We start from the raw sequence: 15,537 nt of genomic DNA, 5'->3' as shown, positions 1-15,537 counted from the left end.
TACATTTTCTTACCCCCTCCTCTCAAATCAGCTGAATCTGCCATCTGCCCCAACTGACCCCCTAACACTGCTCTCTGGGGGGTCACCGCAGCCTTTATTTATATCATTGAACACAAGAGTTTCTTGGGTCTGAATTGCTTGGTCTTCTTCCCCCTGTCCCTCTGCCTGCTGGTCCTGTTTAGTCTTGGTTAGGTTTTTCTTTGCGTCACCCTTAAATATGGAAAGTCCCTAGCCAGGGGCAGTGGCTCATGCCTGTAATCCCAGCAATTCAGGAGGCTGAGACGGGAGGATCACTTGAGGCCAGTTTGGGATCAGCCTGGGCAATATAGTGAGACCCCATCTGTAAAAAAAAAAAAGAAAAAAGAAAAAATGTCCCATAGTGGGGACTTGGAATCATCCCCCACAAGAAGCCGTCTTAACCCCAGCAGCGTCAGTTCCCATCTCTGCTGACAAAGCCCTCATTTCTATTTCCAGCTTCAGCCTCAGACCAGGGGTCCTGCACCCTCCTGAATGCCACATCCTGGACATCCTCAGGGCCCCCTACACCTACCAAGTTCCCCACTGGCCATATCATCTTTCCCAAACCTGCTCCTCCTCCCTGGTCCTATATGAGGGCAGTCCCCACCATCTTCCTGCCCCACCCCATGGCCCCGCAGCTCCATAACCCACCGCCTCAGCTTCCCACAGTTTCCCGAGTGTCTCTGTCAACCCACTCCCTTTTCTTGTTCCCTAGCCCAGCTGGTCCAACTTCGTCCTCACCCACCCAGGTCCCTGCCCCAGCTTCCCCTGGGGCTCCCAGCTTCAGTCTTCCCCTTGGGTCCACCCTACTCATAGCACTAGAAGGATCTTCCTGAAGCCCCAAACTGACCCCATTCCTCCCTTGCATACAACCCTCCATGGCTCCCTGGTATCATCAGGCCAGAGTCTGAGCTCCTCAGCCTGGAGGTCCTAGACCCTGCTCAACCCTCCTGCCTCACCTCTACCATAGCACCCCCAGTGCCCAGGGCACACCACCACCTTGCTTGTGCTGTGCCCTCTGCCTGAAAGAGCTTTCCTTCTGCTCTTTGCCCAGTTATCTCCTTCATATGTCATTCTCAGATCACATGTGTCCTCCTCCAGGAAGCCCTCCCTGACCACACCTGGGGCTGAGCAAGGGTACCTCTTCTGGACTGTCACAATCCCCCAGGCTTCCCTCATCCCCACATCCCTGGTCACTCTGTGCTATCACTGTCTGGGGATGTGTCTGTCTCCCATTTGACTTTAGGCCCCTGCGGGCAGGGCTCAGGGCTATCTGGATCACCACAGCATCCCCCAACCCAGGGCATGCTCAGAGCCGACACGCAGGGAACATCTATTGTCTGAATGGATCGCCATCCTCAGCCTCCTCCGGGGTCCTCAGACTGAACTGGGCGGGGAGGGGGTGTCTCCCCAAAGGAGGCATTCCCCAGCTCCAGACCCCTGCTCCGTCCCCCAACCCCCATAGACAGAGACGAGGGCAAGGGTCTTCGCCCAAGCTTGGAAAAATAGGACTTTCTTGTTTTGCCCCGGTGTCCCCGACACCCTCCCCATCAGAGTTTTAAAAACCATGAGCGATTTGGTGAGTTTGAGGCCAGGTCCCACAGGGTGTCCGGGTCCTGCTGTCCGTGGGGCCAGAGGACCCTTAGAGGGGGGGGCGCCTGGCTAGGGTCCCACAGGTTCGTGGCCGGGCCCCCAGGGCTCGCAGTCCAGCTGGACCACGGTGTGGGCCCTGAGCGCCGCGGGCTCCGGGGCGGGCGGGGCGGGCGTGGGCGTGGGGCCCAGGGCGCCGTTGGTCTGGGAGCAAACGCTGCTAACAGGCGCGGGAATCTTGGCCTTGCCGGGGGGCTGGCCGCCGTGCACCTTGTAGCGCATTAGCAGCACGAAGATGAAGACCAGTACCGAGGCTACGATGACGCCGCCCAGCGCGATGATCATCGTGCCGCCCAGGAAGGGAGCGTGCGGCGCCCCGCATGGCCGCAGCGCAGGTTCGGTGGAGAAGCGGGCGCAGCCCACAGGCCGCGTGGCCGTGAGCCCCGTGGCGCTGTCCTCATACACGGCGAGCACGCACAGATCGTAGGTCCGGCCTGACGCCAGGTCCGTCAGCAGGAACGAGCGGCTCTCCGCCGGGATCATCCTGCAGGGCAGGCAGGTGGGGGTCAGGTCTCAGGCTGCCCAGCCCCCAACCTGTGCTTCCCCCACCAAACTCCCTGCGGGGCTAGACTTCCCACCAGTCCACTCCTTCATTTCATTCTACCCAATGAGCTCCCTCTCACCAACATCCCAATTCCCTTTGGTCTGACATCCCATTCAGCCACCTGACTGATACCCCTCCAGTCTGTTGGCCAATTTCACTCTAGCCCACCCTCTCACACGTCCTCATAGCCTGCTGCCCATTTTCACTCTAGTCCCACCACCCAATTTCTCTAACAGCTCACCACGTGAGTTCTTCCAATCCATCCTGTTTCTTTTCTTTCTTTCTTTCTGTTTTCTTATAGACAGGGTCTTGCTCTGTTGCCCAAGCTGGAGTGCAGTGGCATGATCACAGCTCACTGCAGCCTCTGACTCCTGGACTCAAGCCATCCTCCGGCCTCAGCCTCCTGAGTAGCAGGAACTACAGGTGTGCACTACCATGCCCAGCTAATTTTTAAATTTTTTGTAGAGACAGGCTCTTGCTATATTGCCCAGGCTGGTCTCAAACTCCTGGCCTCAAGGCAGTCCAGCCTCCTGCCTTGGCCTCCTTAAGTGTTGGGATTACAGGCGTGAGCCACCACACCTTGCCGGTTTCATTTTATACCCAACTGCCCAATTTCCCTTTTGCACTGCCCACTCAATTTCCCTCCAGCCTGCAGCCCAGCTCCGCTCTAGCCTCCCTGCCCAATTTTGCCCCAATCCTCTGCCTGATTTCACTCTGGTCCCACTGCCAGTCATCTCTCCAGTTCACCACCCAATTCTGCTCTAACCCTGTCCAATTTCCATCTAATTTAATCCTTTTGTCTTCTAGCCACCCCCATCCAATTTCCCCCACATTTTACCTCCCAGTCTCCTCCAGACGCTTGCCAATTTCCCTCTGGTTCCCCTATTTCCTGCAGCCTATGCCAAATTTCCCTTTTCCAGCTGCCTGATTTTCCTCTAGTGTACAGCTAGGATTCTCTCCAATCAAACCACCTGATCTCCCTGTACCCCTGTTGCCCGATTTCCTTGTAACCTGCCAATAAATGTCCCCCTAGCCCTATTGCCTTATTATGATGACTGTATTGATAGCCTGTTTTCCAATGAGTCCTGTCGTCTGATTCCCTTTTCATTAAACTAATGTGCCTCCGTCACTACTGCTTTCTTTTTCTCCCTGTTGCCTTATTTCTTTCCGGCTCTGTCACCTGCTTCTCTTTTATCTCTGTTGGCTGGTTTCTATTTATCTTTTTCTTTCTTGTTTCCTTTTAATCCTTACCACCCAATTTCACTATAGTTTCTTTTGTAGTTGGGCACCCTGTTGGAGAGTTGACTTATCACCTGTTTTATTCCTAGGCTATTCTAATGAGAGAGGTACAGGGAACTCCGTGGCCGCCTGGGGCAGGGTGACTGTCTAGGACAGCATTCATCCCATTCCCCACCTGGCAAGGTGGCCAGGACTTGTGTGACTTTTTTTTTTTTTTTTTGAGACGGAGTCTCACTCTGTCACCCAGGCTGGAGTGCAGTGGCACAGCCTCGGCTCACTGCAACCTCCGCCTCCCAGGTTCAAGCAATTCTCCTGCCTCAGCCTCCTGAGTAGCTGGGACTACAGGCGCGTGCCACCACACTCAGCTAATTTTTTGTATTTTTAGTAGAGACGAGGTTTCACCGTGTTAGCCAGGATGGTCTCAAACTCCTGACCTGGTGATCCACCTGCCTCGGCCTCCCAAAGTGCTGGGATTATAGGGGTTAAGCCACCGCGCCTGGCCGACTTGTGTGATTTTCAGGGGCAGGACTTCCGTGCAATCTTCCGAGTCATGTCTGAGAAAGGGAGTAGAATGAGCTCAGTGGGTTGCCAGGACTGAAATGGAAATCAAGTGGCCTTTTCTTGAGGTGTTGGCCCCAAGGGAGGGAAAGGACATCCAGGTACTACTAGGTCCCCAAGGAACAGTCCTCAACCCTGGGGAGGTCCAGTCTTTACAGTCAGCCTTGGGGCTGCACCCTTGGCCCAGCCTGGCCGTGAGGACAGGGACTCACCCACAGCCGCAGTCCATCCATGCAAGGTTGGACTTTGGTAAGAGGTGTCAACAGCACCTAGGTCAGCAGCCACCACTGCTGACCACATGCGGTCACTGCAGATGTGCTGAGTGCTCTCCAGCTTGGGGGAACAAGTTGGACTGAGCCACCTCTTGGAGTGTGTAAACCCCAGGTTCTGTGTTTGCAACAACAGGAGAGAGAAGAGAATCCCCCACAAGTGTGGCAAACTGGATATTTCTGTTTACCTGGCAAAAGGAACTTGAACTAGGTTTGATTTGATTTAGAAAATAAAAAATCTGTCGGGCGCGGTGGCTCAGGCCTGTAATCCTAGCACTTTGGGAGGCCGAGGCGGGTGGATCACGATGTCAGGAGATCGAGACCATCCTGGCTAACATGGTGAAACCCCATCTCTACTAGAAATACAAAAAATTAGCCGGGCATGGTGACGGGCGCCTGTAGTCCCAGCTACTCGGGAGGCTGAGGCAGGAGAATGGCATGAACCTGGGAGGCGGAGCTTGCAGTGAGTCAAGATTGTGCCACTGCACTCCAGCCTGGGCAACAGAGTGAGACTCCGTCTCAAAAAAAAAAAGAAAAGAAAAAATCTACACTGGGTGTGGTGGTTCACGCCTGTAATCCCAGCACTTTGGGAGGCTGAGGCAGGTGGATCACCTGAGGTCAGGACTTCTAGACCAGCCTGGCCAACATGGCAAAACCCCGTCTCCACTAAAAATAAAATGCAAACATTAGCTGGGCGTGCTGGTGCACGTCTGTAATCCCAGCTACTCGAGAGGCTGAGGCACAAGAATCGCTTGAACCCGGGAAGTGGAGGTTGTAGTGAGCCGAGATTGCACCACTGCACTCCAGCCTGGGCGACAAAGTGAGACCCTGTCTCAAAAAAAAAAAAATCTGGATGTCACTATATTAGAACTTGAAACATGGAATAGTTCACACCACACACACCGAAGCCCAGTCTCTATCGAACCTCCTCCCTGCAATTTCCTTCTAACCTCTGGTCTGATTTCTTTTTCTAACAGAGCTGCTTATTTCATTGTTTCTGGGCTCCCTGTGCTTTCCTGTTTGATCTCCTTTTCTTCCTGCAGCCCAGCTAGTATCTAGTCCTGTCATCTGGAAAACCTGGTGTTTCTCTCTTTATCTTTACAACTTAAATTTATTTTTATCCCCTTATCTTCCCCACCCACCCTTGCCCATTAACATTTTATTCTTCTGCCCTGATTACTTTCTCCTCCCGCTGCCTGGTTTCCTTTTTATGTTTGCTACTACTATTTATTCTTGCTGCCTAATTTCTTTTTACTCATGCAGCCTGATTTCGTTTATCCTTATTGCTTGATCTTTTTTAGCCCTGTAGCCTGATATATTTTAACATTTGCTGTCTCATTTACTTCGTCCTTCTTGTCTGACTTCTTTTTATCACTGCTGTCAGATTTCATTGACCCTTTCTGCCAGAGTCTTGTTATCCTTGCTGCCTGATTTCTTTTACTTTTGCTCTCTGATTTCTTTTGGAACCTTCCAGCATCACTTATCAGTTGTGCTTCGGTGTAGGGTATTAGTAGGTGTACCCTCAACCCTCCCCTTGCCTCACTCCCCCACCCAAGCTACCCCAGTGCCTGGACCCTGCACCTGTAGACGAGGATGTCATCAGCCGAGCTGTTGTACTGGATCTGGTACATGCGGATGCCCGGGATAGGCCGCTGATCCGGCCACTGGACAAGAGCAGCTGTGGCCCCGTGCTCAGTCACCTGGACGCCACGGTCGGTAGGGGGCCCAGTGTCGGCCACCTTGGCAGAAGCAGAGGCAGCGGAGGGTGGGGTGAGAGCATCAGGATCCCCGTCCCGCGGGGGGTCACAGCTGGTGCTGTTGGCTAGCTGAGGAGGTGGTGGGGGACCCACAGTCAGCTCCACAGCAGCTGTGGCCTCGCCAGCTGCATTGGCCGCAATGCAGGTGAAGATGCCACCATCACCCGGCTCGGTGACCAGCAGCTCCAGCGTCCCATTGGGGAAGGCGCGGGCACGGCTTGAGTTGCCTAGCAGCCGGCCCTGGGGTGACACCCAACGCACACGGGGCTCTGGGTCCCCCACTGCCCGGCAGCGCAGGGCAGCCGGCCGACCTGCGGGCACAGCCAGAGGTGGTGAGCGGTGAGTCACCACGGGCGGCTCGCAGACAAACTCCTCCTCGCCCACCGCCCAGAAGTAGCGGCCGCCCAGAGCAGGTGGGGACGCGCAGGCCTCGAGGTCGTCCTCCCGCGCCAGGCGACGCAGCCACACCAGCTCGCAGTTGCAGTGCAGGGGGTTCCCGCCAAAGGCCAGCACCAGGGCAGAGGCGGGCGAGCCCCGGGGCCTGGCGAGCAGGGGCAGGCGGGAGAAGAGTGGGTCGGGTGGGATTGTGGTCAGGCGGTTGGAGGTCATGTCCAGCCGGGCCAGCTTGTGCAGGCGGGAAAAAGCGCCGGCGGGCACAGAAGCCAGCAGGTTGTGGTCGAGGCCCAACGTGTTGACGTTGCCCAGGCGGCCCAGGGCCTCCCAGGGCAGCTGCTCGAGGTTGTTGTAGGAGAGGTCGAGGTCCTCCAGTGTCTCGGCACAATCATCCAGGGCGCCGGCCGCCAGCGCTGCCAGCTGGTTGTTGCTGAGGATGAGGTGGCGCAAGTTGACCAGGCCGCGCAGCTGGCCCTCGCCCAGTGAGGTCAGCCGGTTGCCATCCAGGTGCAGGGCACGCAGGGCCCGCAGGTCGGCGAAGGCGCCGGCAGCCACGTGGCGGATGGTGTTCCGCGACAGGCTCAGATGCAGCAGGCCTGTCATGTTGGCCAGGTCGCGGCGGCGCACGGAGGCGATGAAGTTGTCTGCCAGCCGCAGCTCGGCTGCCCGGCGGTCCAGCGAGGGTGGCACGAACAGGAGGCCTGCCCCTGGGCACAGCACGCTTAGGGGCAGCGACTGTGTCTGGCAGCGGCAGCGGCGGGGACATGGGCTGGGTGTGGCTGACTGGGGTGGGGATGAGGCAGGGGCCAGCGGCAGCAGGCACAGGAGCAACGGGAGGATGGCCATCGCGGGCAGGGGTGTCCTGCGGAGAAGAGGGGAGGCGTGAGGGCAGAAGAGGGGTTCTGCAGGGGCTGGGGGTGGTCTGAGACCAGGAGAGAAGGTCACAGTGGGCTGAGGGCAGAAGGGCTGGTCAAAGACCGTCAGATGTGACCAAAAGCCAGAGGAAGGCCAGGCGCGGTGGCTCACACATGTAATCCCAGCATTTGGGGAGGCTGAGGCAGGAGGATGGCTTGAGGCCAGGAGTTCAAGACCAGCCTGGGCAACAAAGTGAGACCGTGTATCTATTATACAAAAATTTTTAAAAATTAGCTAGGCATGGTGGCGCCCACCTGTGGTCCTAGCTACATGGGACACTGAGGTGGGAGGATCAATTTGAGCCCAAGAATTTGAGGCTGCAGTGAGCTATGATTGCGCCACCACACTCCAGCCTGGGCAACAGAGCGTGACTCTGTCTCTCCAAAAGAAAAAAGTAAAGAAATGGTCAGAGAAATGACAGCTGGTCTGGGTGAGTGGCAGGAAAACCAGAGGGCTTTAGACGTGGTCAGAGATGGTAAAAGCTGGCCATGGGGAGACGGGGCAGCCAGGGTGGCAACAATGATCAGAAGTGGTCAGATATGACCAGAGAAGAGAAGGGGTTACAGATGGTCAGGAAGATGAGCAGTGGACAAAGAGAAGGGAGGGCATGGGTTGGGCTCAGATCTGGGGGAGATGACCATGTCAGAGACACGTGGTCAGAAACGGCCCAAAGCCAGCAAGGTGGTCAGAGAGGAGGAAAAGGACAGACATGGCAGAGTCAGTGGGAGCCCAGGACAGCTGCTCAGGAGGATGGTGCGGGGAGAGGTCATCGGAGAGAGGAAAGGCAGCAGAGATGTTCGAGATGATCAGAGGGCATCAGCAAGTGAGAGAGGAGAGGTGGCCAGAGATTATCAGAGGGCATCAGTGAGTGAGAGAGAGAGAAGAGGTGGCCAGAGATGATCAGAGGGCATCAGCGAGCGAGAGAAAAGAGGTGGGCAGAGATGATCAAGAGGGCATCAGTGAGTGAGAAAGAGAGAAGAGGTGGCCAGAGATGATCAAGAGGGCATCAATGAGTGAGAGAGAGAGAAGAGGTGGCCAGAGATGATCAGAGGGCATCAGTGAGTGAGAGAGAGAGGAGAGGTGGCCAGAGATGGTCAGACAGTTGCAGACTGGGAGTTAGGGTCAGGGGTGGGAGGAGGGCAAGAGCAGTGGGAGAGATGGCCAGAGAAAGGGAAAGGTGGCCAGAGGAAGCTAGAGAGGAGAGATGGACAGAGGCTGCTGGAGAGAAGAGTGGTGGACAGCAATGTCAAAGATGGATGGGGACGGTCACAGACCTAGGCTTAGATTCAGGGGTGGAGAAGGAGCAAGAGAGCTGGTGAATGATGATTAGAGAGAGGCACAGTGGACACAGATGTCAGCGATGGTCACTGAGAAGCAGCAGGCAGAGGCGACTGGAGAGAGGACCTGTGGACAGGGGTGTCACAAAGATGATCAGAGAGAGAAAAAGGGAACAGAGATGGCCATTGAGAGGACAGGTGGAGAAAGGAGCCCAGAGAGAGGAGTGGTGGACAAGAGAGGTGGCGGAGACGGTCGGACCGGATAGACAGCGAAAGGCTGTAAGGGTTGCAGGGGTCAGAGACCTGGAGGTCCCATCAACTGAGGCAGGGAAGGTCAGAGAGGGGCAAGGATGGCCAGTGTCCAGAGAGTGTTTGGAGCAGAGCAGGAGCTGAAGGCAGACCCATGGGGGAATGTCTTTTTTTCTGGAGAAACCCCAAGAGTGTCAAAGGGTACCTGGTACCGTAACCCGCAGCCACAATGCTCCTCCCAGCCCGTCCCCACCTTGAGGTTTCAGCAGCCTTACCTGAGCTAGAAGCAGCCCCAGGGAGCAGAGTCCTAGCTCCAGGGGAGTCAGAGGTCAGGGCTCTGGAGGGAGCATCTGGTCATGCTTTTCCTGTCCCCAAGGCTTCTGTAGAGGGACTGTGTCCTGACTCGGCTCAAATCTGTGGCAACGGAGTCTCCAGACCTTAATACTCGGGGTTCCAGACCCCTAAATATTGGGCCTCTAGGGTCCAGTTTTACGGGTCCAGTTTGGGTTGTTCAGGGTCAGGGTCTCCCAGGTCCAGTCTTGGGATGCTAAGCAGCCAAACGGTGGGGTTTAGAGTCTGAGATCCGATCCCGGGGTTCTGCATTCAGATATTGGGGTGCTGAGTCAAGATTGGGAGGTCTCAAGCCCCAGATTTAAGCACTCAGGTCTGCAGCAAGGACTTCAGGCCCAAACTCGGGTTCAGGCCCCTTGGAATCCCACAGTCCAGATCTTGGAATTTGAGGCCTGAATCCCAGGGTTCAGGTCCCCAAGAGTGGGTTCCAGGGTACAGTACTGGAAATCCAGTCCCAGATTTCAAGGTCCCAGGCCCAGAATTCAGAGTTCAGCTCCAGGCTTGAGGTTTTAGATGTCAAATCTTGGGGTTCTGCTCCAAATATTGGGGTCTGTGTTCCAAATTGTGGGGTTCCGGCTCCAAATATTGAGGTCCCAGTGACCGATGTTGAGATTCCAGCCCCATATACTGGGGTTCAGGCTCCAGATCTTGGGGTTCCACGGCCGGATCTCGGGGTGCTGGTCCCAGATCAGGGTTCCAGGCTCGGGTTTCCGGAATTCCCGATTCAATCTGGGGGTGCAGGCCCCCGAGGTGGAGGTTAGGGCGCGGGGTCCGGGGCGGCGGCGTCCCGGCTGGCTTCCTGGGCTGCGGCGGAGGCTGACTGGGAGGGAGGGGACCGGCTGCGGTGGGGAGGGGGGCGACCGGGCAGCCCCAGGGCCGGGTGGGGCGAGGCCTGGGAGCGGAGGGACGGTCAGACAGACTGGGACACGCGGGATGGGGGCACCGCAGCGCAGGCGGGGGCGCAGGGGGGAGGGGCCGCGCTCAGAGACCCCTCCCCCGCCGGGGCCGAGGCGGGGGCCGGGCGGGGGCCGGGCTGGGCGGGCCGGGTCCAGGCGCTCCCGCGGCCTCCTCGCCGGCAACCCAGGGCAGCGCGCGCACCGGCGCTTAAAGGCGCAGGCTCCGCGCGCACCCGCGCTTAAAGGCGTAGGCACCCGCCCCTTCTCTCAAAGACGCGCCCCGGCCCCACCTCCCATGGAGTCGCACTGGCGCTGCTGGGAAAGAGAATCCCTGGATACAGAGAGACTGAGACAGAGAGACAGAGAAGAACGGAGATACAGAAAGGCAGACAAAAAGATGGGCAGGCTTAGATTGATGGATAGAGAGGAGAAAATGGAAAGAGGCAGAGAGACAGATTGAAACACACACATATTCGAGACATGGAAATGCACAGAGACAGCGAGACACAGAGAGTGATGGAGAGACAAGAGATAAGGACAAGTCAGAGAAAGACAGAAACAGAGATAGAGACGTGCGTGCGCGCGCACACACAGACACACACATACACACTCACACGCTCTAAGACGCAGCACCTGGGCTGTGAGAATGGTATGTGTGTATGTGCATTCAGTAACTATTCCTAGCCTTGAGTGTAGCGCTTCATTCCAGAGCCACTGGCCCCCCAAACCTGTCTCTTTCTGCCCCCCTTATCTCAGCACCACCTCCCTGGAATGTCCTTTCCACGGTTGGAGTTTCCTTACCTGGCCATGCCCAGCAATAGGCTTGATCTTTCAGGCCAGAGGGGCTCCTTCCCAAGGCTCCTTTCTCTGCCTGCAAGAGGGAAAACTTGTGCCATCTGGGATTAGGGAAAGACCTCAAGACACACTGACAGCCGGGGGCGGTGGCTCACGCCTGTAATCCCGGCTCGTTGGGAGGCCAAGGCGGGCGGATCTTTTGAGATCAGGCGTTGGAGACCAGCCTGGCCAACATGGAGAAACCCCGTCTCTACTAAAAATACAAAAATTAGCCGGGTGTGGTGGCGGACGCCCGTAATCCCAGCTACTCGGGAGGCTGAGGCAAGAGAATTGCTTGAACCCGGGAGGTGGAGATTGTAGTGATCTGAGATCCAGCCATTGCACTCCAGCCTGGGTGACAGAGTGAGACTCTGTCTTTAAAAGAAAGAAAGAAAGAAAGAAAAGCAGAGAGGGATGCCTTGCCTTGCAGGAGCCAGGCCAGGTGTCCTTGCAGTGCAGCCCACCAGGATCACCCGGGGGCACCATAGATCTCCAGGTCCCAACCTCAGAGTTTCTGGTTCAGTGGGTCTGAGGTGGGACCCAAACATTTGCATTTTTAACGAGTACCCAGGTGATGCTAATGTGACTTTTCAAAGACCATACTTTTTTTTTTGAGACAGGGTCTTGCTTTGTCACCCAGTACATTGGTGCAATCATAATTGACTGCAACCTCAAATTCCTGGGCTCAAGCAATCCTCCCACCTCAGGCTCCAGAGTAACTGAGACTACAGGCATGCATCGCCATATCCAGCTAATTTTTAAAATTTCTTGTAGAGACAGGGTCTCAATATGCTGCCCAGGCTGGTCTTGAACTCTTGGCCTCAGGCAATCCTCCCTCCCAGGCCTCCCAAAGTGTTGTGATTACAGGTGTGAGCCACTACACCTGGTCAGGGACCACATTTTGAGAACAGCTGGGCTGAACCAGGGCTATCTGCACTGCACACGGAACTGTCTACCACAACAGCTATGCTAAAACCTGGTGGGTTGAGGGCATGTAGCACCGCAGATGTGTACCAAAGAGACAAATGTATTTAGAGACATAAAGAGGAATTCAGTCTATAAGGGACTTAAACAATGCAACAAGCAAAAAACAAATAACCCCATTTTATTATTATTTTATTTATTTATTTATTTTTGAGACAGAGTCTAGCTCTGTTGCCCAGGCTGGAGTGCAGTGGTGTGATCTTGGCTCACCGCAAGCTCCACCTCCCGGGTTCACGCCATTCTCCTGCCTCAGCCTCCCGAGTAGCTGGGACTAGAGGCGTCTGCCACCATGCCCAGCTAATTTTTTTGGTATTTTTATTAGAGACAGGGTTTCACCATGTTAGCCAGGATGGTCTTGATCTCCTGACCTCGTGATCTGCCCGCCTCGGCCTCCTAAAGTGCTGGGATTACAGGCGTGAGCCACAGTGTCCGGCCTATTTATTTATTTATTTTTTTAGACAGAGTCTTACTTTGTTGCCCAGGTTGTAGTGCAGTGGCATAATCTTGGCTCACTGCAACCTCTGCCTCCTTGGTTCAAGTGATTCTCCTGCCTCAGCCTCCCAAGTAGCTGGGATAACAGGCACCTACCACCATGCCTAGCTAATTTTTGTATTTTTAGTAGAGATGGGGTTTCGCCATGTTGGCAAGGCTGGTCTTGAACTCCTGACCTCAGGTGATACCCCCCACCTCGGCCTCCCAAAGTGCTGGGATTACAGGTGTGAGCCACTGCGCCCAGCCCCCATCTCTTTTTTTTTAAGACAGAGTCCTGCTCTGTCGCCCAGGCTGGAGTGCAGTGGCATGATCTCGGCTCACTGCAATCTCCACCTCCTGGGTTCAAGCTATTCTCCTGCCTCAGCCTCCCGAGTAGCTGGGATTACAGGCATGCACCACCACGCTTGGCTGATTTTTATTTTGAGACGGAGTCTCACTCTGTCACCCAGGCTGGAGTGCAGTGGCGTGATCTTTGCTCACTACAACCTCCGCCGCCCGGATTCAAGCGATTCTTCTGCCTCAGCCTCCCGAGTAGCTGGGATTACAGGCATGTGCCACCATGCCCGGCTAATTTTTGTATTTTTAGTAGAGATGGGGTTTCACCATGTTGGCAAGGCTGGTCTTGAACTCCTGACCTCAGGTGATACCCCCACCTCGGCCTCCCAAAGTGCTGGGATTACAGGTGTGAGCCACTGCGCCCAGCCCCCATCTCTTTTTTTTTTAAAGACAGAGTCCTGCTCTGTCGCCCAGGCTGGAGTGCAGTGGCATGATCTCGGCTCACTGCAACCTCCACCTCTTGGGTTCAAGCTATTCTCCTGCCTCAGCCTCCTGAGTAGCTGGGATTACAGGCATGCACCACCACGCTTGGCTGATTTTTATTTTGAGACGGAGTCTCGCTCTGTCACCCAGGCTGGAGTGCAGTGGCATGATCTTGGCTCACTACAACCTCCGCCACCCGGATTCAAGCGATTCTTCTGCCTCAGCCTCCCGAGTAGCTGGGATTACAGGCACGTGCCACCATGCCCTGCTAATTTTTGTATTTTTAGTAGAGATGGGGTTTCACCATGTAGGCCAGGCTGGTCTCAAACTCCTGACCTCAGATGATCCACCCACCCCAGCCTCCCAAAGTGCTGGGATTACAGGCGTGAGCCACTGTGCCTGGCCATTTTTAAAAAAATTTTTAGTACAGATGGGTTTTCACCATGTTGGCCAGACTGGTCTCGAACTCCTGACCTCAGTTGATCCGCCCACCTCAACCTGGGATTACAGTGCTGGGATTACAGGCATGAACCACTGTGCCCGCCCTTTTTTTTTTTTCTTTAAGAGAAATGGTCTTGCTTTGTCGCTGAGGCTGCCATGCAGTGGCATGATCATAGCTCCCTGCAGCCTCAAACTCCTGGGCTGAAGGGATCCTCCCACCTCAGCCTCTCAAGTAGCTGGGACTACAGGAGCATGCCACCATGCCAGGCTAATTGTTTTATTTTTCATGGAGACACGGGGTCTCGCTATGTTGCCCAGGTTGGTCTCAAACTCCCAGACCCAAGCAATCTTCCCGCCTCAGCCTCCCAAAGTGTTGGGATTACAGGCGTGAGCCACTGCACCCAGCTGGGACAACATTTGAAGAGAAGGTCACCTGGACATAAAGGAACAGGCCTATTTAGGCAAGAAAATAATCCCTGGATGGAGATCCCTGTGCAAATCAGGAACCTAAAGACTCCAGCTGTTGACACAAACCACTGCTGATTCAAGTGCTAATCAGAAATCTGATCCCTGTGAACAGAAACCTGTGCTGATTCATGTGCTAACTATAAATCTATGTTGATTGTCAACTTTGTCCTGAAGCAGGTCTAAGTCACAAATTTGGGCAGGAACAAGCGCTGGTAATCAGCGACTCAAAGAGATTCACATGTTAATGACCATCTTGACTTGATTCATGTGCTAATTACAATTTTAGGATAACTGAATAGGGTGATGAGATATTCCTATGAAGAAGAGCCCAGACTTGGTAGCCCGACAGCCTAGTTCAAATCCCAGCTCTGCCACTGACATGTTGAATAACTTTGAGCAAGTGATTCGCGTTTCTGGGCTTCAGCTTCACTCCTAGAAAGGAGGGCTGATAATATCTCGAATGGTGGCTGGGAGGATTGAATGGGCTAAGATACCTGAAGCGCAGGGAGCGGTAAGTGGCCTAGGAAGTGCCTACTGTGTGAGTCTTAGGTGTAACAGTAGCCTGATTATCATATGCAGCCAACAGGTGCTGCTCTGTCATTCGGTCCTCATAGCGGGCCCCACCTCCAATTTCTTCATTACTACTACCCTTTCGTGGGCCAGGTTCAGGGGACTTACCCTCTGGAAAATCTTCCCAGAGGTTTCCAGGGCGACCCTCAGCATCCCCAGCACCGTCCCCGCCCCTAACCCTACCCTTCTGGGCCCCATTCCCAAACCGGAGCATGATCACTCAGCCACCACGTGGAGGCAGCAACGCATCGCTTAGCCGCTGCGCGCGCGGCGCATTGTGGGGTGCATAGTCTCGCGAGCCGGTTGAGCGGTGGTTCCGGCCTGGCAGACGAACTACATTTCCCAGAAGACCACGCGACACCCTCTGCCTCACCTTGTTCCAATGTGGAGGCAGAGGCCACACCCACTCCTAGCGCGCCTCCGGAACGGCGCGGGGGATTGTGGGGTGTAGGGACTGGGCGCCGCGCCCGAAAAGGGCGGTGCTGCGCAGGCGCGGGAGGCCGCTGAGCCTGCCCGACGTCAGCACGTGGGTGTGGACCTAAGTCCCGGTCCAGGACCAGAAGCTGCAGCCTCCAGAGCTGCAGAGAAGGCAGCCGCGGGAGCAAGAGCTAGACCGACTATTGAATGTGCCCTGCAGCCACCCTGGCGCCTTCTCACTCTCTTGCATCCCAACGTCCTTGTCAGCTGTGGAGCCTGTTAAAGGCGCTTCGATCCTGGGGGGAAAAAACACACAATTTCCCTACTTTTTTCTCTTTTTCACAGCAGTCCCCCTTTTAAAGCCTTATTAATGTTCAGTCGTACACAGAAATAGAATAATGTAATGATCCTCTAAGTACCCATCACCCAGCTTCAACAATTATCAACATATGGCCA

The 15,537-nt window shown here is 55.3% G+C and overlaps 1 protein-coding gene across 1 annotated transcript, besides 2 other annotated features; it reads right to left on the bottom strand.

The window, feature by feature from the left end:
* Positions 1–75: 75 nt before the first annotated feature.
* Positions 76–10,326, bottom strand: LRFN3 (leucine rich repeat and fibronectin type III domain containing 3). The gene is made up of 3 exons (NM_024509.2): positions 9,145–10,326; positions 5,860–7,290; positions 76–2,152 (listed from the first exon to the last, which is right to left on the bottom strand). The coding sequence occupies exons 2-3, from the start codon at positions 7,272–7,274 to the stop codon at positions 1,681–1,683; spliced, it is 1,887 nt and encodes a 628-aa protein (NP_078785.1). The 5' UTR covers positions 7,275–7,290; positions 9,145–10,326; the 3' UTR covers positions 76–1,680.
* Positions 14,788–14,877: an enhancer, noted in NCBI's record as "active region_14509". NCBI's record gives its function as "activates an Ori minimal core promoter by ATAC-STARR-seq in GM12878 lymphoblastoid cells {active_cell/tissue: GM12878}" and the evidence as "EXISTENCE:reporter gene assay evidence [ECO:0000049][PMID:35858748]".
* Positions 14,888–15,107: an enhancer, noted in NCBI's record as "active region_14508". NCBI's record gives its function as "activates an Ori minimal core promoter by ATAC-STARR-seq in GM12878 lymphoblastoid cells {active_cell/tissue: GM12878}" and the evidence as "EXISTENCE:reporter gene assay evidence [ECO:0000049][PMID:35858748]".

This window comes from Homo sapiens, chromosome 19 (genome assembly GCF_000001405.40).
Source record: "Homo sapiens chromosome 19, GRCh38.p14 Primary Assembly".
Lineage (NCBI taxonomy): Eukaryota > Metazoa > Chordata > Mammalia > Primates > Hominidae > Homo > Homo sapiens.
Note: the sequence above shows the minus strand (reverse complement) of the source record. Positions and strands in the feature narration are given on the sequence as shown.